Source organism: Homo sapiens, chromosome 15 (assembly GCF_000001405.40).
Source record: "Homo sapiens chromosome 15, GRCh38.p14 Primary Assembly".
NCBI lineage: Eukaryota > Metazoa > Chordata > Mammalia > Primates > Hominidae > Homo > Homo sapiens.
In genome coordinates, this window is record NC_000015.10 from 47,719,448 (window position 1) to 47,747,221 (window position 27,774).

Consider the following 27,774-nt stretch of genomic DNA (forward strand, 5'->3'; position numbering starts at 1 on the left):
ACGATTTTTCCCCAAAACTTCTGGCGGTAAGAATTTTAAGTCTGTAATAAAAATTATGGGTGCTTTTTAAGGTTGCCCTTCCCCCTACTTGATATTTGGGGCCATTAAGTGGATTATTTTGTTTATTCCAAAGCTGAAGTCCCTGGGAAAGGTCTAACATTTTTCTAAACTGGTTTGATCTCTGTCCCTTAGAATAGGAAAAATACTTGTTTGAAGAAAATTTTCAAGGTTTCTTCCTTGTAGTATAAAGAAATCTCATCTCAGACCGCTCAAGGGAAGGATTTTACTCTCCTTTGGTGGCTTAAAAACAGTAGCTTTTGATACTGGTTTACTCTTGCTGTTAAAAAATAAATCCCCTTACTCTCTTAGGTGTCTAACTCAGGAAATTAAGTTGTGTGTAGTCATGTTTAATGTAGTGAGTGACAGGCATATTCTTTCAAGCTGGCAGATATTACACAAACATTTACTCTGGCTTAGATAAATAGAAAATGCCAGATAAGCTCTGAGATTTGGGTCTATATTACCATGAACCTAAACATCTAGAGATAAATAAACCATAGTTCAGCCATAGCTGAGTTTTGTTTTTTATAGTTACTGTCTGTGCTTTGTTTGGTTTAGGTCTCTTAGAATGTACTTCCAGAAAGACAGTTAAATAGATAACCCTAAGGCTTCCAAAATGTGTTGTTGAGCAGACTGTTTTCTTTCATTGGCACATTTTGTTAGATTAACAACTAGCAACTATTTCTTACTGCATCCTACAGAATATTCCTACCTGGCCTTATTCCTCGTAGGGATGCTATATCAATAACCTTTCTTTTTTTTTTTTTTTTTTTTTTTGGAACATTTCTGTGACTCAGGAGAGTATGCCAGAAATGTTGTGACTTCTTCATCACCAACAGCTGGTTAACTTGAGTTTGATTTAGATTTGTGGGCATTTTGCCGTCTTCCTCTTCTTTCTCTCTTTTTTTCTTTTGGTGCCCTCTAATAGCACCATCTGGTCATGTCTCCCCTGGTTTGATGGGTTGATGGATTTGAAAGATGGCTGTGATGTAAATCCGTTAGTCCTTAGAGTGAGGACAACTTAGAAATCCAGAAGACTTCAGTTCCTTGCTGCATGCACAGAAAGGCTCTGTCCAGTAACTGTGACTGGGGTAAGCAGGCCCCTACATCAATGTCGTGGTTTCTGTCGCTTGAAAGGCCACAAGCAAGTAAACAGGAATCAGAGCCTTGATTCACAAAGATGGCCATAATTGCTAAAGACTTATTGAAACTGGAGAAGTTCTTCACTTCTTGCTGCTCCATCATAATAAACCTTGGTAATTAGCTTAGTCATTGTTCTTGCATGTGAGTTTCACTAAGATACAAAGAGTGAAAAATGCATCTGAAATAGGGTCATTTTTCACCCTTTTGATGCATTTTATGCAGAGTTAAGAGCCTGGCTGAATGCCTAACCATTAGTAGTGTAACCGTAGGAGGTGAACTCTTTCCTTGTTATATTGCGTGATAAAATATTGTCTTTTATTTTAATTGATAGACTTTAAGCCTGCATATTCTAGATGCCTTTCTAGAGGAAGCAAGAAGCAGTTGGGGTATGCCAACTAGGCAGTATTTACTGAATATTTATCATTTGCAAGGAGCTGTGCTAGCCAGTGTTCCAACACCAGGTGAGCCAGATATGTTTCTCTGTATTTTCAATAGAGCAAAAATAGAAGGAAATAAAGGATGGGAAAACAGACCTTTTGACAAGAAATGTAGATATGCTTCTTTCTTTAGAAGTGTATTATTTTATTCTAGAGATTTTAAAGCAAGATTATCCATACCAGATATTTGCAGTGGTGCAGCCTACCTGCCTTTAACACTAGTGAATGATTCAATGTACTGTTAAGTGTAATTCACGCATTGAATCTGTCCTTAGAGTGAGAGATCTCACTTTCTGTGGCTCATGTGAATGGAGACTTAGTGTTAATATCTACCAAAGCTAGTGTCTTGGGTTGCCGCTGATTTTGTGAACAGCTGCCAACTTCCAATTGGGGAAAAAAAAAGTGTTCTGATTTATTCCCATGACACACGGAGAGAATAAAAATCACATAACTATTTTAAACATACCATAACACTTTCTAGTTGAGGTGGCTATTGTCAGGTGGAGTTTTCCTCCTCACACCTGACAACACTGGCAGTGCCACTGATAATTGAAGCTGCTTGCATTTCTCCCAACAGGAAAACTACTAGACGTTCTTACTTTGAAAAACAACCATTTATGTAACCAAGGGCGATCAAATCAGTGGTCCACACAGATACCACATGAGGTGTACTTATTTCTCAAACTTTCCTTTTCTATTAAGCTTTTGTTAACTCACCCAGATTAGCATTTTAACAACCCTGAAGTGAACTTCTGCCATTCTCTCTGCTTGGACACAGTATGTAGATCATCCATCATCCTGTCCTTGGCTACAACAGGCTGCTGGCTCTATCACCATTTGGAGCTACATGGAATCCATCCGGCTGTGAACAGCACAGCTGGCTACAGCAATTTTTTCTTCTATACCACTGGCAGTATTGTCTGCCTGTGGTAACTAAAGTTAACACCCAGAACGGGAAGTTTCCATTGTTTGGCAACCTGTCCCAGGCCCCTCATCCAGTTCTGGGGTCACAGCTACTGAAAGTCCTTGCCACCTTGCAATGGTGTGTTCCATTTAAAAGGAGGCTTGCCCCAACCTTATACCACCACAGGAAAGATTCTTGAGGCCTGTAAGATCAAACCACCAGAATCACAGAATTAGAAGGAGCCATTCAGCCACCACTCATCTTACACCTTCAGAACTTGAGTCTACTTGAAAAGGGGAAGAAAGGAATGAAGTAGCCTTCAGCCTGTGATCCCAAATGACTGAAGATAGAAAAAAGACCTTTTTTGGTGAACTGAGCAAGTTATTGCTACATCCCTTTTCACAAAGAACACGCGATGTACCTAAATATGGGGCCCGTGTGTACTAGTGCCGAAACTTTCTGTCGCTTTTTTTTTGTTTTGTTTTCTTCTTTTTACTCAATAAGATATCTGTTATAGTAGCCATTGCTTGTTAAAGCAAGAATAACATGAATTAGCTGGCTACATCTGTAGGTTATGTTGCCAGGCTTTTTTGTTTGGATGTTTAAACTTTCATAATTAGGAATCCAGTTTTTGGAAATTGATGTGTCAAGGGGAGACTGCCTCATGTTTGGGTGTGAGTTAGCATGTAGTCTTTCTTCTCTCCATAACATTTACTAGTGAAATCAGCCACAAAACATCTGAAGGATGATGGTGATGATGATGGAGGCGGAGGAAGAAGAGGAAAGAACAGCAGCAACCACAATACTTAACACTTAATGTTAGCTTACTAAATTCTAGGCACCGTCCTAAGATCTTTATATTGGTTATATCATATAACCCTCAGACAGCTCTGTAAGGTGAATTCTGTTATTATCACTGCTTTATTGGTAAACAAAGTGAGGTGCTGAGAAGCTGTCATTTTCCTGAGGTTACATAATGGAAAGGTGGTAGGGGCAGGATTTGAACTTAGGCTTCCCGACATCTCAGCCCACTTTTTCACCACTGCACCGGATTGCTTCCAAGAACACAGACCACCCTGCAGTTTTCTGACTTCCTAATACTTCTGACATTTGCTTTTCAATGAAAAAGTCATGTTTTGGGGGAAAATTGCGTACTGAGTGAAATTATATGTACACGGTGGATGTGCTCTTAAATTACCATCTTTTTTCTAATCTAAATCACATTGTTATACTTTACTTTCATTTTTTATTTCCATTGGCCGTATAATTATTACACACCCTTCTTTTCAAGCATCCTAGAACGGTATCTTCTCCCACCATTTTTCTCCATGTTAGGCTTTCCTGTCCAAGATTACAGTGGCATAGGACAAATGGCAATATTCATCACTCTCCACCAAAAAGTGCTTCTGCGTCCGGGTGTGATTGACATTCATTTCCCTGATCTTGGCAGGTGAAGATCCATTACGTATCTTTGTCCCATTTCCCGGGGGGAATTTATGGGCCCCATCAGCAAAGACAGTGAGAGCTGCAGCTGTTCAAGCATTAGTGGCACCAGTATGGAAAGTGTATTACTGAAGTTAAAGTCTCTATTAGATTGTACTATACATTTTTCTTAGTTATGATGGAGGGAAAATCTTTCAATCAGATACATTGTTGAGAAATTCTCTCTCATGCATCAGCATTTAATTCTCTCTCATGCATCAGCATTTTTTTTTGTTCTTTTTTTATTCAGGATCTCTATGAGAAGAAACAAAAAGGGAAATACACATGACCACTACACATAATACTGAAATGTAAGGTTCTCAACATATATTTACAGGAAGGAATATGGGTTTTTAAAGCCCAATATGTTGGTACATATATAATAAGGCCTCAGGAAGATCTGCAATTACTTAGCCTATTATTGGAGTCTGTACTTAAAAATAACGTCAGGAGTTTCTACTCAGCTGAGGAACTGGCACATAAGAACCAGAGCAGACGAAGCTCTTTGAGAAAATAACACTTCTACTCCCCAGGAGCAGGCTGTCAGCAAAGCAGGGACTGAGATTCCCCTCTCCACTGGCCTACGCCTCACTTGTTAGTATAAGGGTCTTTGCAAGCATTTTTTGGTCTACAGAGTTGTCTTTATTTATCAGTAAGTCTTCAGGCCTCCTCTGGGTAATTGGTGGATCAAATAAAGATATTTTTAAAAGCTACAGAGGGAGAAGAGGAGGCAGAAGAAGGAATAAAGAATGTTGCAGTTGTTCTTGCCATTGCTGGCACTAACATTTGTTCATTCAGCTAACTTTTACCCTGGGTCTACTCTGTACAAGTGGGTACAGGGCAGGAGAGGGCCCAAAGAGGAGCATCACACAATTCCAGAGGTCAGGGATCTTACTGCGTGCTGTAGGAAAAACAAGGTGTACAAATAGCTGAAACGCTGTGTGTTTTAAGTGCCAGAAAAGATATACACAGACTTAGGGAAATTGAGAAGAGTGAGAGGTTATTTCTGGCTAGGGTGGTCAGGGAAGGCTCTGTGGAGTCACTGATATTTGAGCTGGTTCTTGAACTAGGTAGGATTTGGACAGGTGGACAGTGAGGGGTGGTGGGGGAGGTGTTGAGAGGGAGGGAATTCCAGGCATAGAGAACAGCTTAGGCAAAAGCCCAGGGGTGGGGTGGGGGTGAGGGTCTAGATCAGTTGTCCATATTTATGCCCTTACCTACAACAGACTTGTAATTCAGGTGTGAAGAGGCAGTTTGCCATGCAATCCACAAATATTTATTGAGCGTCTCTGGTCTACTATACTTAGCCATTCAGCAGATGGCCCTACAGCTTAAGCCATCAGAATGAATAGGATCAATCTTGTGGCAATTCACTAGATTGCTCCGTGATCAGGACTAAAACCCGCACATCAGCTGCCAACTGGTTCAGTGATACACATGAACGTTGCAAGGAGTAAGATGATTTGCCTCAAATTACCCAGCACCAAGTTCCTCTCATAGAGTTGTTTAGCAGAACCAAACTGAAAGTCTGTGGCTTCACTGGCTTCATCTTTTTTCTTAAACTTGAAAAGGCTTTAGATGTAGATTCTAAAATAAAGAATACGTCGCATATGTATATGAGGATTTTTGGAGGGGAGAGAAGGGAATGTGAAGATAGGAAGTGGAAGAGAGGATAGACACATATTGAAACCATGCTCATATGAGTTGGACTCTAGGTGCTGCTTAGACTGCAGGTTTTTTGAGGCTATAGTGCATGCTCATCACTGTAAGCTAGCAGAGGGAGTGACACATAGTAGATATGCAGCAAGTGTTTTAATAAATGCGCTAATTGAGTTTAACTTTTATTACATTGCAGATATAGTTTATCATGGCTGGTAAACTGAAAGGAATGAGGTTGGAGCTATGACAACCTTTTCCTAATAGAGAAAAGGGAAATGACTTGGAACGTTTTTAATACTTCCTTTTGGAAAATCTCATTTTAAGGTTCCCAGGGGGAATCAGCACCCCTTTCAGGGCCTGAGTCTTCCAGATAAACTCATCTGCCACTAACGGTCCCCAGTCCCCCACTTTCCCACCTCCCTCACCTTCCCCCTTGGTCCTGCCATACTCAACCCCCTCACCCAAGATAACCTGTTTAGACATTAGAGTTCCCAAGCCATCATTAACCCTTTGATTAACATAAAGTATAATCAATCCATGGTTAAGTTTAATAGTGGAGGTAATAAGCTTCAAAACAGGAAAGACCAGAAGTTCTGTGTAGTATAAGTATGCTTATTAAAACACATAATAAAGGAAAAATAAAATGAAAACAGTTACATTAGGGAATGATCAAGTCAATTGCTTTGCCAAGAATTGCTCCAGGGGTTCAATTTTCCATGGTATATTTAAGTCTGTTACAAGTTAATAGTTATGTGACAGATAGTCTTAGAGACGAATCTTAAGTCTGAAGAATCACTGCCAATTAAAGATCAATCAGAAATTATAAAATAGGTCAATAGGGAAAAAGGATTAAGCATATACAAATTCAATGTTGGGAACTCTTCAGGAATATTCGAGTGACATAAAGCAGAGAACCTGTTTAGTTTAGTAATCGGTCTGGCTCCCACCCCGTTGCTTGTTGAAGCGAAGGGCAAGCTGCCTCCCCCTGCGCAGAGCACACTTGCCTACAGACGGGATCTAAAATAAACTGGCCTGGTTCAACTAGACTAATAATAACAGCTAGCACTTACTGTGTGCTTACCATGTGCCATGGCACAGTGCCTAGCACTTCAAATATGTTATCTAATTTAATCCTCACTCTACCTCTGGGAGTATAGGACTAATAGCTAACTAAGAGCCAACATATATTGAGTGCTTACTATGTGCCTGGTACACTTTTAAGAACATGTATTAAATCATTTGATCAGCATTCTTTGACGTGAGTAACATTATTAGGAATATTCTCATTTTGTACAGGAGGAAACTGAGTCATGGGTGATGAAGTCATTTTCCTAGGGTCAAACAGCTAGTGACTAGTGGAACCAGGGTACCTGGACCCATGATAGGCAGTGTGAGTAAGAACATGAACTCTTGGAGTCAACTTCGTGGGGGCTGTGAGTTTTGGAGTGTGACTGATAAGCTGTGTAATCTTTAACAAATTACTTCACCTCTTTGAGACTCATTTTCACCTTATAAAAGGTGGATGATGGTGGTAATACCCACCTCCTAGGGGTGTTGTGAGACACAGATGAATTAATATTTGAACAGCACTTATAATAGTGCTTGGCATGTAGTGAGTGCTATAAATATATCAGTGTCTGTTAAATAAAAATAAATGCAGGCTGGCTCCAGAGCCTATGCTTTTAGCCCTTGTACTGTGCTGTCTTTTCACATGTGATTTTATCCTATTTCTTTAACTGATATATGTACCTTGAGGCCAGTTCCACAACAGCTACCCTGCACTCCCACTCACTATACTTGCCACACATTCAGCCAAACTGGAAAGGGGAATTTAGAAGGAGAGGTTCAGTGGGCTGGAGATTTACCCTAGACCTTGGCACCCTTTTGAAGATTCCTAACCCCGATGTCAGCTGTTTCAGAATTGTGGTGTCAAAAATCTGGCTTCCACTGTCGGTACTGTTGAAGGACTAAACATGGATAATTAGCACATGTTCTGTGCTGGTGGCCCTGGGGCTATTAAAAATCTGAATAATGTCATAAAAATTTAAGCACACTCCAGGCCATCTCTGTCGTCACGCACATCTTTGATCTCCACCAGTGGTCTTCAGACTTTAAATTTCCTCACAATCATATAGGGTTAAAATGCAGATTCCCAGAGCTCCAACATCAATGGGTCTGTTTCGCTGCGTCTGGAATGAAGCCCAGTAGTCTGTGTTTTTAAGGAACACTTCAGGTAACTTGTGCCCATTGTCCCTTCACCACATTTTGAGAAATGGTGCTCTAGTGTAGCCAGAGCTCCTCAAACATCAGTGTGCCTACAGATTGCCTGGCATCTTGCTAAAATGCAGATTTCTATCCAAACAAGGTGCTAGACCTCAGGGCTACTGTTGGCAGGCCACTCAGTAGTAGATCTAAGACCTCTTGCCTACGGCACGAAGAGAATGATTATGAGCTGAAGACATCCCAGCTAGCTCATGAAAGACTAAAGAAAGTAATAAAATCTGCTCAGAGCTAAAGTGGCTTCCCCCCCAACCCCCCCAGTTTGCAAAGGATCTTTATAGTGAGCAGAAATTATGAAAGAAAAAGGGCACTCACTTATTTCTGCTGACCGGCCTATATCATTTCATAAATGAAGTCCTGGGCCAGTATTCATAGCAACAGTTTTTGATTTAATGATAAACTGAGATAAGGGTAATCAAACTTCATGCTTCAGGGCATAAGGTGATTGCCTGCTGCGGTCAGGATGGAATTTTTTCCCTTGTGCTTTGCACAATTGACTAGATGCATTAGAGAGAGTGCTCAAGCCGTGCTTGGAAGAGCTGGAGGCCCAGCAGAAAGCTCCGCTGGCTGAGATCATATGGGAAATGGTTTGGGTTGCAGTGAACAACCCCCATCATCATTTGGCTTTATCATTTTTGTTTCATATTAAGCTTCTGTGTACCGTATGTGTGTATTTCTATAAGCCACACAATGAAGCTGGGAGCATACTGCATTTGGAAGCAGATGCCCTGTACTCCAGCCCTGGCCAACAGAATGAGCTTCTGAGTTACCTAAGGAAAGCACTCCCCACTTGGAGACTCAGTTTCCTCACCTGTGGATCCCTTACTCACCCTGCACGATTAGAATGAGCATTAAATAAGACAGTATGGACAAAAGTGCTTCATAAAAACCAGATAGGTGCTGCTCTAGTGAAAAGTATTATTATGATACAATGAAATATACTTTGGGGAATCACTTTATTATAATCAGCCATATATAAATTCATACTCTGTGTGGTGACATCATAAACATAATGACAGCAAACATTTATTGAGTTCTTAATCTGTGCCAAGCACTGAAGTTTTGTTTACATTCTCTCATCTAATGCTCATATCAGCCTTTTGGGGCACTTAGTTTTACCTCTCATTTTATAGATGAGGACACAGATGCTCAAGGAGCATCACTTAGTTTCCGATCGCTGTTGTAACGAATTTCCACAAACGCATTGGCCTAAAGCCACACAGATGTATTATTTTAGTTCTGGAGGTCAGAAGTCTGAAACGGGTTTCCCTGAGCTAAAATCCAGATAGCAGCTCCAGGAGAGAATGTGTCCTTGCCTTTTCCAGCTTCTCAGGCTGTCTTCATTTCTTCTCACACGTGACCCTTTTCCTCCATCTTCAAAGCCAGCAATCCTATGACTGAGACTTCTTCCATAGTCACTTCTCCCTCTCCGACTCTTCTGCCTCTCTCTTCCATCTTCAAAGGACCCTTGTGGTTAGCTTCGGACCACTCAGATAATCCAGAATAATCTCCCTATTTTAATATCCATTACTTAATTATAATGCAGAGTCCCTCTCGCCATGTAAGGCAGCATATTTACCCATTCCAGGGATTACGGCATGGACATCTTTGAGGGGTGTGGACATTATTCTTCCTCCCACAGTGAAGTACCTTGCTAGGAGCGTGCGGCCAGAGTCAGAATTCACACCCAAGGCTGTCACTTCAAAGTCCAGCATCTCAATTACTCACTATAAACCCTTCGATTTAATCAGTGAAGCAAACAATAAAATCATAGAATGTGAGTGGTGAGAAAAGCCCTGTTGCTTTTAGACTAATCCATTGGGGACTTTTAAATATAATCATCATAGTAGTAACAACACAAACATTGACCTCCTGATCTTCAAGTCCTGCTTTGTACATGGAGTCGTTCATTTATTTCTTCTCAGGGTGTATATTATTTATCCAATTAACCAGATTTACAGGGATCCCTGAATCCATTTGTCTTTCACTGGATAACTGAAGGAACAAGGAGCATTTTGGGGGCCAAGGGACCACTTTGGAGGTCTATAGGAATGTGTTTTAATGGAACTACTAGTTCAGCAAAGGGTAGTTGAAGAAGGATGGCAGGGGCAGTTGGGCCATCATTTTCTGGCTCTGGCACTGCCCCTTGGCAGATTGGATGGGGTTTGTCAGGTAAGATCACCCCACTCCATCTGCTGATAGCCAAGTCCATTTCCAGCCTGTGAGGATTGATACCCACAGAGGCCAATCAGAAAATCCAGAGCCTATATTCTGCTAGGTTTCCAAAGAACTGTAGAAAGCTATCAGAGATCCCTCCCTCACTCTCTTACCCATCTCTCCCGCTCTTCTCTTCACTACACACTTAGCTAATCTCTGGTTTAATGTAACTTTAAAGTTCAAAATGTGTGCTCATTACTGAAAAGGCTGTCAGAGCAATTCGAAAAAGGAGCTGAGAGTCTGGAAGAACACAGCCTAGCTGAACTGTTAGACAACCAGATTATCTGTGGACAAGGACTGGCCTTGCTAGCCTTAGTTTTCTCCTTAGGACAAAGAGAGGTGGTGATGGGCGGGAGAGAGTCTATATGACCTCCAGAGTTCTTTCTAGTAGTGAGATCCCTTAATGCTATGTTTATCTTCCCATTTTATTTTAGTTTAGTTTAGTTTAGTTTTGAAGGAAAATTTATATTATTTTAATTATTTTATGTACAGAAAACTCAACAGTGTACATTTAACCCAATTTAGTGGCAAGTTCTTTAGCCTTTGCCTTTTCGAGCTTGGCGATGCGAGCCACAGACTTAGGATCCAGGACGTTGCCGCCCCAGTGACGGCGGATCTCATCGTATCTGTCGTTGTAATTGGTCCTGATAGCTTCCACCAGCTTAGCCAAAGCGCCTTTGTCTTCCGAGTTCACCTGTGTGAAGGCCACAGTGGTGCAGGTCTTCCTGTGGACTAGACGTCCCAGTCTTGCCTTCCCCTTGATAATGCAGTAAGGGACCCCCATTTTACGACACAGGGCAGGCAAGAAGACAACCAGCTCGATGGGATCCACGTCGTGTGCAATCAGCACCAGCTGAGCTTTCTTATTGTCCACCAAGGTGGTGACGGTGTCAACTCCTGCTCGAAGGACAGGTGGTCTCTTCGTGGGGACATCCCCTTTGCCAGCAGCTTTCTTCTCGGCCCAGGCCAACAGTCTCTGCTTCTTCTCTTGCTTTGTCTCTGGTCTGTACTTGTGGGCCAGCTTATGCAGCTCGCTGTTTGGCGGTCCAGGGCCTGGGTGAACTGGTTAATCGCAGGAGGCACTTTCAGCCGCTTATAGAGTATAGCTCTCTGCCGCTGCAACCTGATATAGTGGGGCCATTTCACAAAGCGGGTGAGGTCTCTTTTGGGCTGGATGTCCTGTCCAATGCCAAAATTCTTAGGCCTTTGCTCAAACGGGATTCACCACTTTCTTAGCCTCCTGCTTCTTCACGACTGCAGGGGCCGGAGCCACCTTCTTTCCCTTGGCCTTCTTTCCTTTCAGCATCTTGGGCAGCGGGAGGAGAGAGCAATCTTCCTATTTTAATTACCTAAGCAGTACAATCAAATACCATGCTGATTTTAGAAAATATTAATCTACTTCATGAATGTGCATGTAGCTACCTGTGAAAAGAGACAGACACACAGATAGTCCAACTTCTCAAATTTATTATTGCCATTTACATTTTGCAACACTTTGCCCTTTTCTTTTGGGATCACGTAAACTTCATTGCTGCTAATATAGTTTTGAGACTCAATTTTCAGAAATACATAGATAATATTTTCAGTTAGCAGTAATTGCACCTCATTCAGCTCTCAGGGGTCGATGCCTTACCTTTGCACAATTTCCCAGTAATTTTCAGTTATATCCCCAAAGAGCCACTGCCCCCCCGCCCCCGGTTGAACACATAGAACTGAGAAGGCAAATGAGTTTCAAAGTAGAGAGCCAAACCTGACTTACTGGTAGTGGCTGTTACAGCTTGTGCTTCAGAAATTTGTAGGCCTGCATCCAAGGACAAAGAGAAAGAGAATGCCTTCATAGATTGGCAAAGTGTTCTATGAAAAAGGGAGAGTGTATGGTAGCCCTCATTGAGCATGGTCTTTGTACAGGTTGATAAGTGTCTAATGCAGATGTCACCTGAAGTGATGTCCCAGCTAGCTGCAAGAACAGAGCTTGAATTATCTGATCCATGGGAAGGCAGATAAGTAACTTCCAATGCATAAAAAAACTTGGTAATTATTACTTTACCCAGTTCTTGCCATTTGATTTATTTTGTTGCCTTTTTCCACAATTATTCCTGCTGTCTTTAACACTCCATCAAAGATTCAAAATATATGATAAATGGTTATGCTACCATAGATATCACCTTCACTACACATATATGTATATGTATGTACATATGTCCACGCTATACATAGGTGTATGTAAATATAGACATATATAAAAATATAACACACCACACATAGACATGTGCCCCTATAGAGATTTTAAATGATAGCCTTCAACGTCAGACAGACGTAGGTTGGAAACCCATCCTGTTTCCTTAACAGATTTGAGAAATTGGGTATATCACTAGACCTCCGAGTCTAGTTTCCTTTTCTGTAAAATGGAGAAAATATTCTTAAAGAGATGTGAAATCGGTTAAATATAATGCATGGAAATTGACCGTCACAGTTCCTAGAACACAATAAGGTGCTCAGTCATGTTGGGTTTTCCATTGTTAGTATGCTTTGGACTACAGGTAAGAGGAAACCTAATTTAAAATTGCTTAAACAATTAGGATCGTATTAAGTCACATAGTAAGAAGTCCTGAAATGTGGTTGCTCCAAGGTTGGTTAATTCTTTGGCTAAACAAAGTCATCAAAGACTCAGGTGTTTTCCATGTTTCTTCTCTGCCATTCTCAACCTGTTAACCTTCTGCTTTGCTAGCTCCTTCCATGTTCCTAGTAGGACTGGTACATTCAAGGTGAGAATCCAACAGATCAAGAGACAAACTCTCCCAGGAAACCTTTCCTAGTAACAGATTTTCCCGGGCTCTCATTGGATAACATCATGTCACCTGCTCATGTATGAAGCCTAAAGCAGTCTTGGGCAGGGGAATGGGACCACCTCAGTTGACCCAAATGGGAGAGATTGGCTTACCAGTGGATACACAAACAAAATCACCATTTTGTTATAGAGAATTATACATTGTTATTTATACCATTGTTATTTATACATATTACCTACACATAGTGTACATTAAACACATTTGTGAATGTGCTCAAACTATTCAAAGTTTGGTGTTTGGCCAGCAATGTTTTTCTGCATGATTTGAAAATTTTGCATACTTGGAACAGAATTTGCATTTGATTAGGCAATTAAAAAAAATAAAAGATATGACACTGCAAGAAAATGCTACAAAAATGTAGGCAGGATTCATAAAACGACTTCTCTTTCACTATACTTCCATATTTGTTTCCTGTAGCTTCTTTTAAATGAGAAATAAGATACCCCTGCCAGATTAACACTTTGAAACATCATAGTAAACACGAGCCGTAATTATGAAGGCATTTTTATCTCTTGAGAGGTGGAGACACAGATGCTAACTCGATTCTCTTCAACTCTGTAAGACATTTCATGATTATAAATTCACATTTTCTCATGGTTCCTACTTCAAAAAGCTCATTAACCCTTAAAGCTCTAAAGCTAAAGTTTCGTAGTGTTTCTGTTACATGTGATAAATTCTGTATCTACTGAGGACAGGTACCCACTCACTTTTTTTTAATCTTTCTTATCACTTAATGAAATACACTGCAAACTACCTAAGTGGAACTCTTGGCCTGGCTCCGAGTCCTCCTTCACCCTGTCCTGTTTAACCTCTTTTCCTGGTACAATAATACAATAAATCAGTCCTAAGACATCATAAAACACAGGTAAGGAGGCTCCTTCTTTACCTCTCTTTGTACAGCTGATGTTTCTTTGCAAGAAGCTGTAAAAATTAACCACCTAGATTTTCAATATTTGAAATTTCTACTGTCAGTGTTTTCTAGTTGCATTTTTGTTCACCAAGGTAAAACTTCACTCAGGCTTCATTGAATACGAGTCTTGTTCCTTAAGGGAAAGCAATAACCCTTGCTTCGCTACTCTCTCTATATTCAGCCTGCAATTTTCCTTCCCAACTGTGCATCCTTGTGAGTCCAGAGAGTCCGGGGTTCAAATTCTGAGTCTGCCACTTAACCCCTCAGAGCCTGGTTTTCCTCACTGGAAAGTTAGGATAATATTTCTACCAAATAAGGATGTTACTAGGTCTTCAGGAGGACATACATGCAAGGCACTTAGCATGGTATCTGACATAAACTCACTAAGTTATAGTAGTTTTGGTTTTTATATTTACTATTTTCAAATCAAGGATGTTTGGCAATATGTAAAATATTCATATAGGAAAGGCTTATGGATTTTATACATGGATTGGTTCCTCCCCCAAAAAAAGTATTTGGATGGCTACTTCTAAAAGCATAAAGAGACAGAGAAAATATAAGAACAAGTCTGCATGTGGCATTTCTTGAGCCCATCAGAGCACAGAAGCAGCACCACATGTACACACGGCCACTCACTGCTGAACCTGATTCTGGAGACTTGTTTGTGATGGGGTGGGAAGGTTTATCATGTTGTGAAGTATTTTCAGATGATGAATTTTAGAACGTAAATGATGGACAAAGTACTCATAGTAACTTTCTGGATTAGCTCAACCTGTCCCTCAGTCGTAGTAGTAATTTTTAAGATCCCTCTAGGTATAGAAGCATCTTACTCACTCACTTATTCATTCATTCATTTATTCATGCAACAGATAATTTTAGAGCATCTTCAGTGTTCACAGAGCTTTTCTTCCCCTTTGCCTTCAAAGCATCAAAGTCCAGTAAATCATGGAACAACTGCATGTAGCATCAGTTTCCTGGGTATGTGACCTGGAGCTGCACTTGGTCCCATGCTTGGAATGTTCTGCTGTTGCCATCTTCAAATCCTTAATTTTTTTCGAACAAGGAGAACCACACTTTTATTTACACAGGGCCCTGCAAATCACGTAGCTGATCCTGACTTCTCCTTGTCACCAATGAAATTTACTCTGTATTGATCTGAGTAAGCAGACATGAGTTGAAAAGAGCCACAGAATTTGCGTCTTGAGTTTCCACTGTGTCACATACTCAGGAAGCTACCTAATTTCTGGTCCTTGGTTTTCTCAGCTGTAAACTAAGGCAGACTACACATGGTCTCCAAGAACATGGCTGGTAATCTTGATACCTCAGGGAATAAGACATAGGTAAAATAATGCCAAGCCTAGGTTTGAGTTTTAAGTGTGGTGACTCTACTTTCAAAACTAGAAATTAGGGGATTATGGGAATTATGGGACCAAAATAAAAATTGAAATTAGCACTCTTCTTGAGAAAGTTGAGCTGTGTAGTTGAAATCTTTGACTTCTAGCCAAGGCCTACATGCAGTTTGGTGGTTTTTAAAATATAAAATCAAATTGATTGAGCACTGTTATTATTCTGCTCATTTCATTTGGATCTGTCCTTTTGTTTCTGTAGATTTTATGCTAATTTCCCAGAAGAGACTTAACTCACTCCTGTACTTTTGCCACACTTAAAAAAAAATCTATAGCCAAGACCTTAAAACTCTAATATACAAATATTGACATCCCTGAGGATTTTCTGATTTTCAGCCCAAGAAGTTTTGTGTGTTGGGAGATTATAATAAAAATATGTTGCCAGCCCTCTGGCATGGGCACTAACCAATCAAAACAGACCCCACAATGTGGTACCAAGTGATTGGCAGCCCTACAGTCTTACATGACAACAATAACTTTTAGAGAAGGCACTACGGTATAGTCATCATGGCCCAAATATCTGTTCTCCAGTGACCCAGACTCTCCAAGATGCAAGAAAGAGGTACCACTAAACACAGTGAGTCTGTATTTATTCAGTGTGGGAACCAAGATCTCTCCTAGTTCAGTCAGCTTGCACCTCTGCAAGCATTGCTACAAAGTCTGTATTAAAAGTTATAGCTGTTTAATGGCAGACACAGACTTCAGATACACTTGTTTTTCATCCACTTAAGGTCACTGACAAATGGAAATGATAAAAGACATTTCAGAGAAAACAAACAACTCCAAATTAACTGAGATTCCACAATCATCATTTTTAGATACATCTTCAGTTCTGCTTGAAGCTGTCATTTACTTGAGCAAATTTAAGATCACAAGAGAATGTGATGCTCAGAGTGTCTCTAATCACCCGCCTAAACGTTTGCATCATTAAGTTGGTCTCTCCACTTCACAAGCCTGCCGTCGGCCTGAAGAGATGGGGAGCTTTTCCGTAATGGTGAAAGCCCACAAACAACTCCAGTGTAAGTCACAGTATCAAGCCAATTAAGATCAAACCTATGATGCTTAGTTGTACACATTTCATCACTTAACTATTAAACAATTTTTACTTTGACACTAATCAAGAGGTGTTAATGCAGATTCTTTTAAACAACTCAAGTGATTTAGGGTGTGTGTAAGAGACAGAAGGAGAGAAAGGGAATGATTGTCTTTTCTACTTTCCAGAGCTATCTTTGGGCCTCTTAAAATTTGTTATCCAGTTTGTGGGGTTTGTTTATTTATTGACTTAGCTTAATTTAATTGTATTCAATTTATTTTATTTTATTTTGTTGGAGAACATTCTGACTTGAGTCTGTTGGTCTGTTTTATTGTGTAGCAGTAGGCTGTTTAGCTTAGAAGCCTACTAAGAAATGAGGGAGTTTACATTTTAGCTCCCAAGCCCCTAATGGTTGGCTAACTGTGTTTACATTTGTATTAGCATTGAGTGGGCTGATTTGAAAAGAGCCACAGAGATAAGAGAAGTCTGACTCCTTGTCACCCTGACAGAGGCAGAATTGCAGAATCACCCTTATCTGCTATGATTATCTTACGACTGAGAAAAATGCTCAATGTGACCAAATTTTGAAATAGATTCAGTGTTCCAAGCAGCTATGTATCTTCAAAGTAAAATATAAACAAGTCATCTGTAGAAATTTGTTTATGAAAACACAGATTTACTGTTTTGCTACATATCCAGATAGGAATTTACTTAAGGCTTAGTTTGTCGCTTATTTGGATCGTGGTGATGTAGGGTGATTACTCTAGCAAAAAGCAAGAAGGCTGGTACAGAAAATGTCCTTACTTCCTGCTGTCATACACACAGGACTTTAAGCAGGATTTTGGAATTTAAATAAGCCAGAACTTCCTTCTCCATTTCCCTGTGCATGTTTTAGAGTTGAGGAAGATCTTAAATACCAGTATTTGAACAACTGAGGTACAAATGTTTTTGGCTTTAAATATTCAAGTACACAATTGCAATCAGTTTTTTGTTTGCTTTTACTGGTGTAGATTAGACCACTGAGAAGTTTAAGCCAGGTTTTCTTACTCCTGTGTGATTGTAATTCTTAACTTTTAATACAAAAGACAATCCCTGTAATACCAGCACCAAGAGAACGGCGGTGATTTTGAATTGGCATGGATCTTTGTGAAAATCAGATTAAAGTTCACTCTAAAAATAGGAATTGCTGTTGCTAATTTTATTTTAGCACTTTATATTTCAGAAGCTTAGGAAGGAAAAAGTAGGAGGTAGGAAGGAAAAAGTAGGAGGTAAGAAGGAAAAAGGGAGCAAAAATTATAATATGCTAATTTAGCTGAAATCTCTTAATTACCTTCGTGATTTCTTAGGGTACACCCACAGTACAAATAAAACAAAACATAATCAAGGACTTGTTCTCTAGGAAGTTATCCTCTAGAATAATTACATATTTCAAAAATCATATCCCATAGGACCCCAGTACTAGTTCTTGGTTTTATTGAACAGACAGACAATAACTGTCTTCACCAAGAAAAATGAGCTGTTTATTTGGATGGAAGGTAACTTAATGTTTTTTAGTGAAGCATCTTCCCATCCTCCCTTTTTTAAATGTTAAAACAATTATAAAGTATTAATTTTAAAGGGGAAAAATCTAAAATAACTTAAATTTTTAAAAATCTGTTTCCTTCTAGTATTTGTCTATATGCATCTCCGGTTTTATAAAGTTGTGATCAGTGAACATAAACCTTATATTCTGATTTTTTTTCCTTCCTAGTATTGCATCATAAGCTGAGGATTACTGGTTTTCATTATTATTATCTGAATGATTGCATCATATTTCATGAGGCTAGTGTAATATACTTTTAACTGCTTCTCTGTGTTTACAATTTTAAGCTGTTTCCAGTTTGTTCACCATTATAAAATAAGTTTCGTTTTTTTCCTTCCTACTTTAGACTATTTGCTAAGGGTAAATCACCAGAAGTAAAATTACTAAGTCAAAGGTTAGTTTTCTAAGTGTGTGTTGTGTATGTAGGAGCATGTGTGTTACACATTGCCAAATTATTTTCTAAAATGGTTGTACTAATTTACCCTGCCATGTGCAATATATTGATTTCATCCCAACTTTACCAGTATTATCTTTAAAAAAACAGAAGCTAATTTCACCAGTGTAAAGTTGTGTCTCCTTCGTAACAATTTGCATTTCTAGTATTGCTATCAAGAAGCCTGATAAACTTAAAAAAAAAAAAAAGGGTTACATATGCAGAACATGCAGGTTTGTTCTAATAGGTATACATGTGCCATGGTGGTTTGCTGCACCTCTTGGCCCATCCTCTAAGTTCCCTCCCCTCAACCCCTACCCCAAATAGGCCCTGGTGTGTGTTGTTCCCCTCTCTGTGTCCACGTGTTCTCAATGTTCAACTCCCACTAATGAGTGAGAACATGCGGTGTTTGGTTTTCTGTTCCTGTGTTAGTTTGCTGAGGATGATGATTTCCAGCTTCATCCATGTCCCTGCAAAGGACATGATCTCATTCCTTTGTATGGCTGCATAGTATTCCATGGTGTATATGTACCACATTTTCTTTATCCAGTGTACCATTGATGGGCATTTGGGTTCATTCCATGTCTTTGCTATTGCAAATAGTACTAAGAAGCCTGACTTTTTAAAAAGACTGGGACAAGACATTTTAGGGACAAGTTTCTACTGTTTGACACATAGAAAAGCAATCTGAAGACTATTACTAGGGAATTGTCATAACATCTGTATTCTGACCAAAGACTCTCTGTTTCTCTGGAATGTTTCCAGCTCTGACAGCTAATTTCAATCTTCAGCTGGACTGACAGGAAAGAGCAGAGGAAGCAGGATTTCAGGATAAAGCGAGTGCTGAGGGGATCCAGGGAAGGGTTCATTTATCCAGCCACCATCCCACAACTTAGTGCTTAAAACTACCACGATCATTTGTTTGGCCCCTGAATCTACAATGTGGGCAGAGCTCAGCAAAGACTCATCACTACTCTATGTAGTATCAACTGGGGTGGCTCTAGTAGGTGAGGGGGGCTCCAGGTCTAAGGTGCTCATTCTCATGGAAGGCCAGTGGGTGCTGCCTGTCAGCTCAGGGCTCAGCTAGGGCTGACAGCCATAGCCTTAGTTCCTCTCCCTATGGGCCACTTCATGAGGATGTCTTCACAAGCAGCTTAGGCTGTTTCATACTTCAGTAGCTGGGTTCCAACCAGTGTCCAAGAAATAGGAAGTGGAAGCTGCCTATGTATTAAGTCCTGGGCTCCAAACTGGCACAGCATCACATCACCACATTCTATTATTCAAACACTCATAGCCCAGATTCACAGGGAGGATATATACACCCACTTCTGAATGGAAACAATATAAAAAACACTGAGAGATTGTGTTTATAAACTGCCATACAGAATTTTCAGCCCTTTGGGAAGCTGAAAAACTAGATAGTTGGAGCACAGTGGACTAGTAGATATTATAGCACCAACCTCCACCTTTGCTTTCCAGAATAGTCCAGGGATGGGTTCTCCGTTAACCTAGTCTACCTTTTCCACAACAAAGAATTCGGCCAGGTGCCTCTTGGACTGACTTTTGCACTGTGGGGAATCTGCAGTATTCCACCACCCCCCGCCCACACAAGCAGTCAGGTCTCAGGGCTTTTAATCATCTGTGTAGTTGCTCTTTCCTGTTAAGATAGGTTTTAGTGGTGGGTCTGAGCATGTGATACATCTCAAGAAGAATAATGACATTAGGCATATTTGGTCCATGTACACTGGCAAGATGCTTAACTTCTAATGTGTTGACAGCCATATGTATGAGAATCCCACCTGATTGCTGAGTGGTTGATTTAGGTGTCTCTACTACTAGGAAAAGGGAAATTATTTGAACTGCAGTTTCTTGGTCCAGTCTTCCAAAGAATATTCCAAGAGAGAATTTGGAACATAGAAGAAGATACTGAAATCATCAGAGTGGTCTTCAGAAAAGGTTAGAATATGACAGGGCAGGGGACACAGCAGTGAGGAAGCATAATGATGCTAATAATAATATCAACACAATAACCATAATAATAGCTAATACTAATTGTACTTATTTGCATAAGTTTAAGTTTTCCGTATATTAAGTCTACAACCCTGGAAACAACCATTTTAGATAGGTCCAATTATTTTCTACTTTTAATAGATGTGAAGTGAAGTAGCTTTTCCAAGATCACAAAGCTAGTGGGTGGTGAAGCCAAAATATTCATAAAGTAGAGCCTGCTTTTCCATTGGTTTATATGAGGGTACTTATCCTCCTGTGTGGTGAGAGGATGGCCATCATCCAGGAACTCCTGAGGGTTTCATGCATTGCGACTCATTTTTCAGCCATTTTGTCAGGTTGGGTTATAGTATTTTTGTTGATAGTTGAAAATAGAAAGTAAAAAACATGGCCGGGCGTGGTGACTCATGCCTGTAATCCCAGCACTTTGGGAGGCTGAGGTGGGCAGATCAGCAGGTCAAGAGATCGAGACCATCCTGACCAACATAGTGAAACTCCACCTCTACTAAAAATACAAAAATTTAACTGGGCATGGTGGCGCGCGCCTGTAGTCCCAGCTACTCGGGAGGCTGAGGCAGGAGGATCACTTGAACCCGGGAGGTGGAGGCTGCAGTGAGCCAAGATTGCGCCACTGCACTCCAGCCTGGTGACACAGCAAGACTCCGTCTCAAAAAACAAAACAAACAAACAAAAAAACATAGACAAGCCTTCCAGAGATAGAGACTTGCCCTCTGATATAGTTTTCTCTCATATCCACTCTGCCTGGTCAGCAAGATACTTAAAAGAAGGGTTTCAAAGGGAGCCTCTCTAACTTTGAAGGGCCCAGGAGCCAAAGGAGCGAGCCGTGAGCCCTCAGTTTATTTCCAAGCAAGAGCACCTGAGCAGGGAGGTACCCAATATACTCTTTTCCCTGACCTTGGGGTAGGTCCCTGCTGCACCACTGCCTGGAGACAAAGGCTTGATGTTAGGTCTAGGGTGACAGGGAAGAGGCCTCTGACCACTGGTGACCCTTAACGTCAAAGATAGGTAGGAGGAAGAGGTGGAAACCAATACTTAAGATTTAGGGAGGCAGGATCCTTGCTAGCTCCCTGCATGAATCTTCTCAATTACTTGACTTTTTCATAGAAACTTTTACTTATTTATTTTTCTGACACAGTTACCTGCTAGACTATTAGACTAGAAAGGGGAAATAATGATGCTTATGTCTTAAAATAACAATCATAAAATCAAGCTAAAAAACTCTGACAGTATTCTTATCTTAATAAATTCTTAAGTTCCTCTTTCTCCTCTCTGTTCCTTTTCTTCTGTGTTATCTTTCTCTGCTGCAGGGATTAAGACTACAGACATTGAAGTCAAACTGGCTTAAGCCCCATTATTTAATTTTGTGACCAAAGGCAGATTACTTCTTTATTTCCTCATCTGCAAAATAGCACCAACCTCCTAGGGGGTGCTTATTCTTAGCATAATGCCTGGTGCTTTGTTAGCATGCAACCCTGGCTTGTTATAATCAGCTCTAATTTTCCGGTCTGTGACATCTACGTATTAAACCTAATTCCAGGTGTGTCCCATGAAAACAAAATAAGAAGGCCGGGCACAGTGGCTCACGCCTGTAATCCCAACACTTTGGGAGGCCGAGGCGGGCAGATCACCTGAGGTCGGCAGTTCAAGACCAGCCTGACCAACGTGGAGAAACCTCGTCTCTACTAAAAATACAAAATCAGCCGGGCGTGGTGGCACATGCCTGTAATCCCAGCTACTCAAGGCTGAGGCAGGAGAATTGCTTGAACCCAGGAAGTGAAGGTTGCAGTGAGCCGAGATCGTGCCATTGCGCTCCAGCCTGGGCAACAAGAGCAAAACTCCATCTAAAAAAAAAAAGTAAAAAGAAAACAAAATAAGAAGGTTAGCAAGCAAAGTCTCTTCTGTTAGTAGAGCAGACATGTGAAATATTTTCTATTTGGGCCTGGGAAGTTATTTCTACCAATAAGCCATAGATCCTGCCTTCGAGGAGCTCACAGTCTAAAGAGGAAGACAGGAGGTAGATGAGCAATTCTACCCACTGTGGCAAATCCACAGTAGAAATGGATAGAGTGTCCTGCGAGGAGAGCAGAGAGAGGGATGGAGAGGGTCTGAGACTGGCGCTGGGTCCTAAGGATGACTAGGAATTTGCCAGTCAGAGGAGCTGCAGAAGGTGTTCCAGGTTCAGAGAACAACAGGAGCCAAGGGCAGGAGGCCTCAGCTGAGCTGGCCACTCGCAGAGGAACTGCAGCCGTGGAAATAAGCATGTGAATACTGATTTGAGCAAAAGTGTAAACGATGTCAGTACACCAGGGTGATGCAAACTGCAACTAAATAAAGCAGTGATAATAATACTACTTCTTCACACTTGTATAGCACCTTTACAATTTTTAAAGTATTTTTACTCACATTTTCTCACTTGTCCCTTTAAAAAAAAACCATGGTGAAAGAGGGAGTCAACAGAGATGCATCCTTCCCTCATCTCAGAAGAGGTGAGGTAAGGAGGGAGGTGGGAGCAGCCAGCGGTGCCTTGCTGCACGGGAGGGATCCCTCCTGTCCTTCACACTGGCCTCCGTTCCCTCTTCTCCCTTGGGCAGCTTGGATGCTGCTGAAAGACAGTAAGCAGAAGGTATAACCGACCCACTTGAGATAGAGCCTAGGGCCTGGGGACTGGTGATTACAGCACCTCATAAACCAGGCCAGGCCTGTTGGGCTGGGGTTGTGTTTGTACTAACGGCTGCTTCTACTTGTTGAATGTCCACTGATCTGAAGGGTGTCTGGGACTTTCAGTGCATATGACATGAAAGAGGTGGCTCTGCCTCTCTACCCAGCTTGGAATAGATGCAGCCCCTCAGGAAGAAACCCACAGGTCCCTCCAGTTCTTTCCCCCAGTCCTGCTAGAACGCCTTTCTTACTCTGGTTGTAATCCTGCCTTGTCCCTGTATCCTTCATACAAAGGACCCCACACCCTCTGTGTTTCCTGGTTTTGCAATCCTTTCTTTTTTGTCAAAGAGCTGCAGGTCTCTATAGTGAGAGTAGGTGGGGAAAAGGAAAACCAGTCACACTTTTTCCTCCAAAGATAATTAGGCTAATTTCTCTCAATCTTTTCACCAATGTTTATCCTGTTTGCATGTCTAAAGAAAGCAACATTCTTTTTTCTCTATGCCTCCCCAGGATGCCTCCTGTGATTAGAATAGAATTTGAGGCCCTAGGTCCAAGGCATTGGTCAACTTAGGAAATGGGCCGGACAATATCACTGGCACACTGCTAAGTCCTATATGTCCTTCCCAACAATTTCAAAATCAAGGGAAGTCCAGATCTCACTATGGTCACATCTGCAGCTGTAAGGGCAATTGCCTACCGGAAATACTGCTGCATAATTTAATGCTTAATTTAATAATTTAATACATAATTTAATATGTTGGTGCGTGTATGTGTTCATTACTGGTGATCGTGGATGACCTGTCATTAGCAATTCACCATCAGTGGGTAAAGGGCTCTGTGGAGATTTTTCAATGTTTTTTTTTTCTTGAGAAGGCACAGGGTCGCACACAGAAATTCATTCAACAAGAACTATTAAAACCCTGTGGACTAACCACTTTTTTGGGAGTTTATTTGCAGACGTAAAAGGCAGTTCCTGAACTCAAAGAAACCTACAGTGCGGGGGAGTAAGTTATGAAAAGAAGGAAACAGACTATCACGTGATATGTGCTCTGATGAAAGTGAGCCCAGATTTTCATGGCCGGAGAAGGAAAAGAAGGAAAATCCTGGTGGGAAGTGATTTCTCATGAGGAATCAGTCATGAAGAGGAAGGGACAAGAAGAGCATTCCAGGTAGTGATGGGGACAGCACATCCAAAGGCAGAAAGGTGGAGAAAGCTGAGTTTGCACTGGAATGAGGGGGTGCTTTACCATGCCCGAAATTTAGGGGGTTCAGAGAAGTGGCATCCAAATGCTGTCCTCTGGTCCCTCTTGGCCCCATAGCTGTAAGACCAATGCTGAATGTCACTGTGGAACCTAGTTTTGATTTTTGTCAATGCAAATCCATTTTGAGCCTCTCTGAGATTAGCCTTGGAGGTCATAGAGCAATGGACCTGGAGACAGGTGACCCAGAAGCCTCTTGTCAGCAGTATGACCTCCAGCAGTTCTTTAACTCCTTGTCTGAAAAGCATCTATTTACTAATTCAGCAAATATTTACCAAGTAGATAGTGAGTTCCAGATGCTATGGTGGGTAATAAAGATAAAGTAGAGAACAGACAGACATGACTTCTGTTCTCCTGAAGCTGACACGAAGTTCAGTGGAGAAAATAACTTCTGCCCTAAGCCTCTAAGGTCAGCTTTAAGGACTAGAGTAGATAGACATATTTGCTTTGAAGAGCATAAAACACTATAAGTGAAAAGCTCTTTCCCCAAACCCTGGTCTAGGCTGAATATCAATGAGAGCTAGGCACCCCAATCCCCACCCACACACAGAAGTTTATTAAATATCAGCTGCAAAGCACATTGGGAATGCAGAGAGAGGCTAAGAAACCTAGACAGAGGTCCTGAGTGTATGTGAACTGAGCTTCCCACAGCACATCCTACAATTTAAAAAAGATATTGGACATGATCTGCTAGCCTGTGGGACCACCTCACCCCTGGGTGAGGTGAGAAAGCTCGAAGAGACACTTAAAGGCCGTATTTCCCAAGGACACATGGTTGTGGGGGGGAAAATGCACCCTCTGCCATTTCATCTGGGACGCCATCAGAATGCCAAGTCCACATTCGTAAGTGCCAGTGGAGGCTCGGTCCCTGTTCAAGGCATCAGTCAGTTTGTAGTACAAAGCCCATTTGTGGTTCAGCGTCACAGATCAGAGGCAGCGATCGCGCACTCTCCTGTCTCAGGGTACAGAGGGAGCACATGCACTTTGTATCCTAGGCAACGGCAATGCTACAACAAAAAACTTAGAAGTGTGAATTGGGAAGAATTTTACTTTGAGTGAAGAACCTTTTTCAATGCAGGCACCAAACTCAAAATCATAAAATGTCACAACTTGGAAGGGGCATTGGAGATCACCTGCGTTCTCATTGTATAGATTGGGAAACCGAGGCTGGAAGAGGCAAGTTGGCTTTCTCATGGTCTGTCAGATCCTTAGAGGCTGAGTTAAGAGTAGAATCCAGATTTTTTACCTCCCTATTATCTCCAGGTGTGTTTAATGTTTGGGATAAGATTAACATCCCCCAAGGTGATTCATAAGGAAAGTGAGAACAAATGTAGATAAGGGTTTGAAGCGTAATTATCTCTGGCATTAGAACCACACACCCTTCCTCACAGTTGTACCTTTAGCCTTGAACAGGCTTCCTGGTACTCACCTGGTCTAATAGTGATTTTTATGGTGCTTACCATGTGCCAGGATCTCTGGTTCAAGAACTCCTTCCGTCCTCAGCAACTCTATGAGGTAGCTGCTAGTGTGATCCTATCCCCAACATACAGGGTAATGGAGGGACCAAGTGGTGAACTAGCTCACCCAAGGTCAGATCACTGGTTGCGCAGCAAAGCTGGGGCACCTACCTGGGCAGCCTGGCTCCAGAGCCATGTTCTCTACCCCGTACGCCACTGCTCAACGCTTGTCAGCCTCCATCCCTGACAGCAGCAAGGGCTGAGTTTGCTTAATACCCTCTTGGTCTTGCATCAATTTAGTGAAAATTAGGAACTGAGATTTTAAGAACTTGCATGGATTGACCTAAACTCCCATTTTGCCTCTGTGGACCCAGAGGTTTCAGAAGTTCATAGTCCATCAGATACAGAGCCTAGACAAAAGGCTGCAGGTAATGCACAGGTGCACTGACTCAGGCTTAGCCTGGGCGCTCCCTGAGCTTTGCAGGACTTAAAATTCACCTGGGCTGTTTATTATTCTCATTCTTAGTTACAGCTCCATTTTTAGTCCAGATCTATCAAATGGAACCTAACTTACCATGGGCCACATTTCCATCAGTAGGAAAAAATACATTTAAAAAATAATTATTTTGAAATAATTATGAACTCACAGGAAGTTGTAATAATAGTACAGAGAGTTCCATGTCCCCTTCACCCAGGAAGTACATTTTAAAAAACAAGTTAGGATTGACTTACAGAATCCTGATAAGGTTAATGCTCTAAATCTTTCTGAGCAATCAGTAATCTTTCTCTACGTTTGTTAGAGACAGGCAACTGTTACTGTATTTTCAAATACAGAAGGCAAATACTAATACAAAGGCCTTATTTTTGGTGACCGAAAACCAAAGGACTTGGGACTAAAAATTCTTGGCTTTTAAAATTTCACTTCTCTTCCTCTGGGTCATTAGAGTTTTAACCCTTCTGTAAACTCATCACCAACTGTTTTAAAGCATGACATCACCTGAGAACCTCTGATGAGGCACTTTGCAGAATATCAAACCTGAAGATGTGAGCCTTTTAAAATAGAGTGAAATCCCATTGTTGTTGGCAGTGATGCTAACATAGATCATTGAACTCTGTTGTGACATCTGGGTTCTGCACTGGCTTCACTACTCCTGGATCATAAGTCCCTCAATTTATCTGCTTGACCTTTGTCAGACAGGAATAGGAGCAGCAGCCCATCCTCAGTCCTTCTTTGCCAGGGTATTGTTCATTTATTTGAAAGCCTGGAAAGGCTTCATGGAGTACATTGAAAGCTATGGCTACACGGTGGTTGCATCAGACAAGTCAGTAGCATCAGAACAAACATACTCTACTTCTGTCATCCGAGCCCAAAGGGCAGAACCAGGCATAGACCCAGGCCCTAATATCCTGAACAGAAAGTCACATGCAGGCCATATGGCAGCCTCAGCAGGTCATCTGGTAGAATAAGCCAGTGTTCCACAGACAGGCTGAGTCCTTTGGCATCTGGGTCATCCCTTGGAACCTTGAGCCCTTCCTTTGTCTAGAATGGCTCCTTTTCCTGGAGGCTGAAGGGGAGGAGCCCAGTCTGGCTGGGATATGCCTGTGGAGGAGATAACCAAAAAAGAAGGCTTTCCATTTCTCTTGTCATTAGTTAGCCTTGAAAACCCTTCGGTTCCCCTGAAAAAAGGAGACACGATTGTTCATTTCTGCCACAACAGTCTCCTGCTGTGTGTGTGTGTGTATATATATATATATATATTTCGATTGTAGAAGGTTCCTTGTGCATTATACTTTCACAAAGCAAGTTATTATATTGATGTCTTAAGAGGCTGATATATTTTGTCATCTTCCCGGATAGCAGATTTTCTGCTTACATATCAGGCTCATATTCTCATTAGTTTCTTGTATTATTTTCACTGTTAATGAGGATTGTTTCTAGGACAATTTTGCTTTAAAATGAATGTTATTCAATTTGAG

The 27,774-nt window shown here is 41.2% G+C and overlaps 1 protein-coding gene and 1 pseudogene across 9 annotated transcripts in view; one reads left to right on the forward strand and one right to left on the reverse strand.

Annotated features, from left to right (window-relative positions):
• Positions 1–27,774, forward strand: part of SEMA6D (semaphorin 6D) — a 590,140-nt gene that overhangs the window by 535,359 nt on the left and 27,007 nt on the right. The gene's annotated exons all lie outside the window — the stretch shown is intronic.
• On the reverse strand, positions 10,635–11,513 carry RPL7AP62 (ribosomal protein L7a pseudogene 62; annotated as a pseudogene).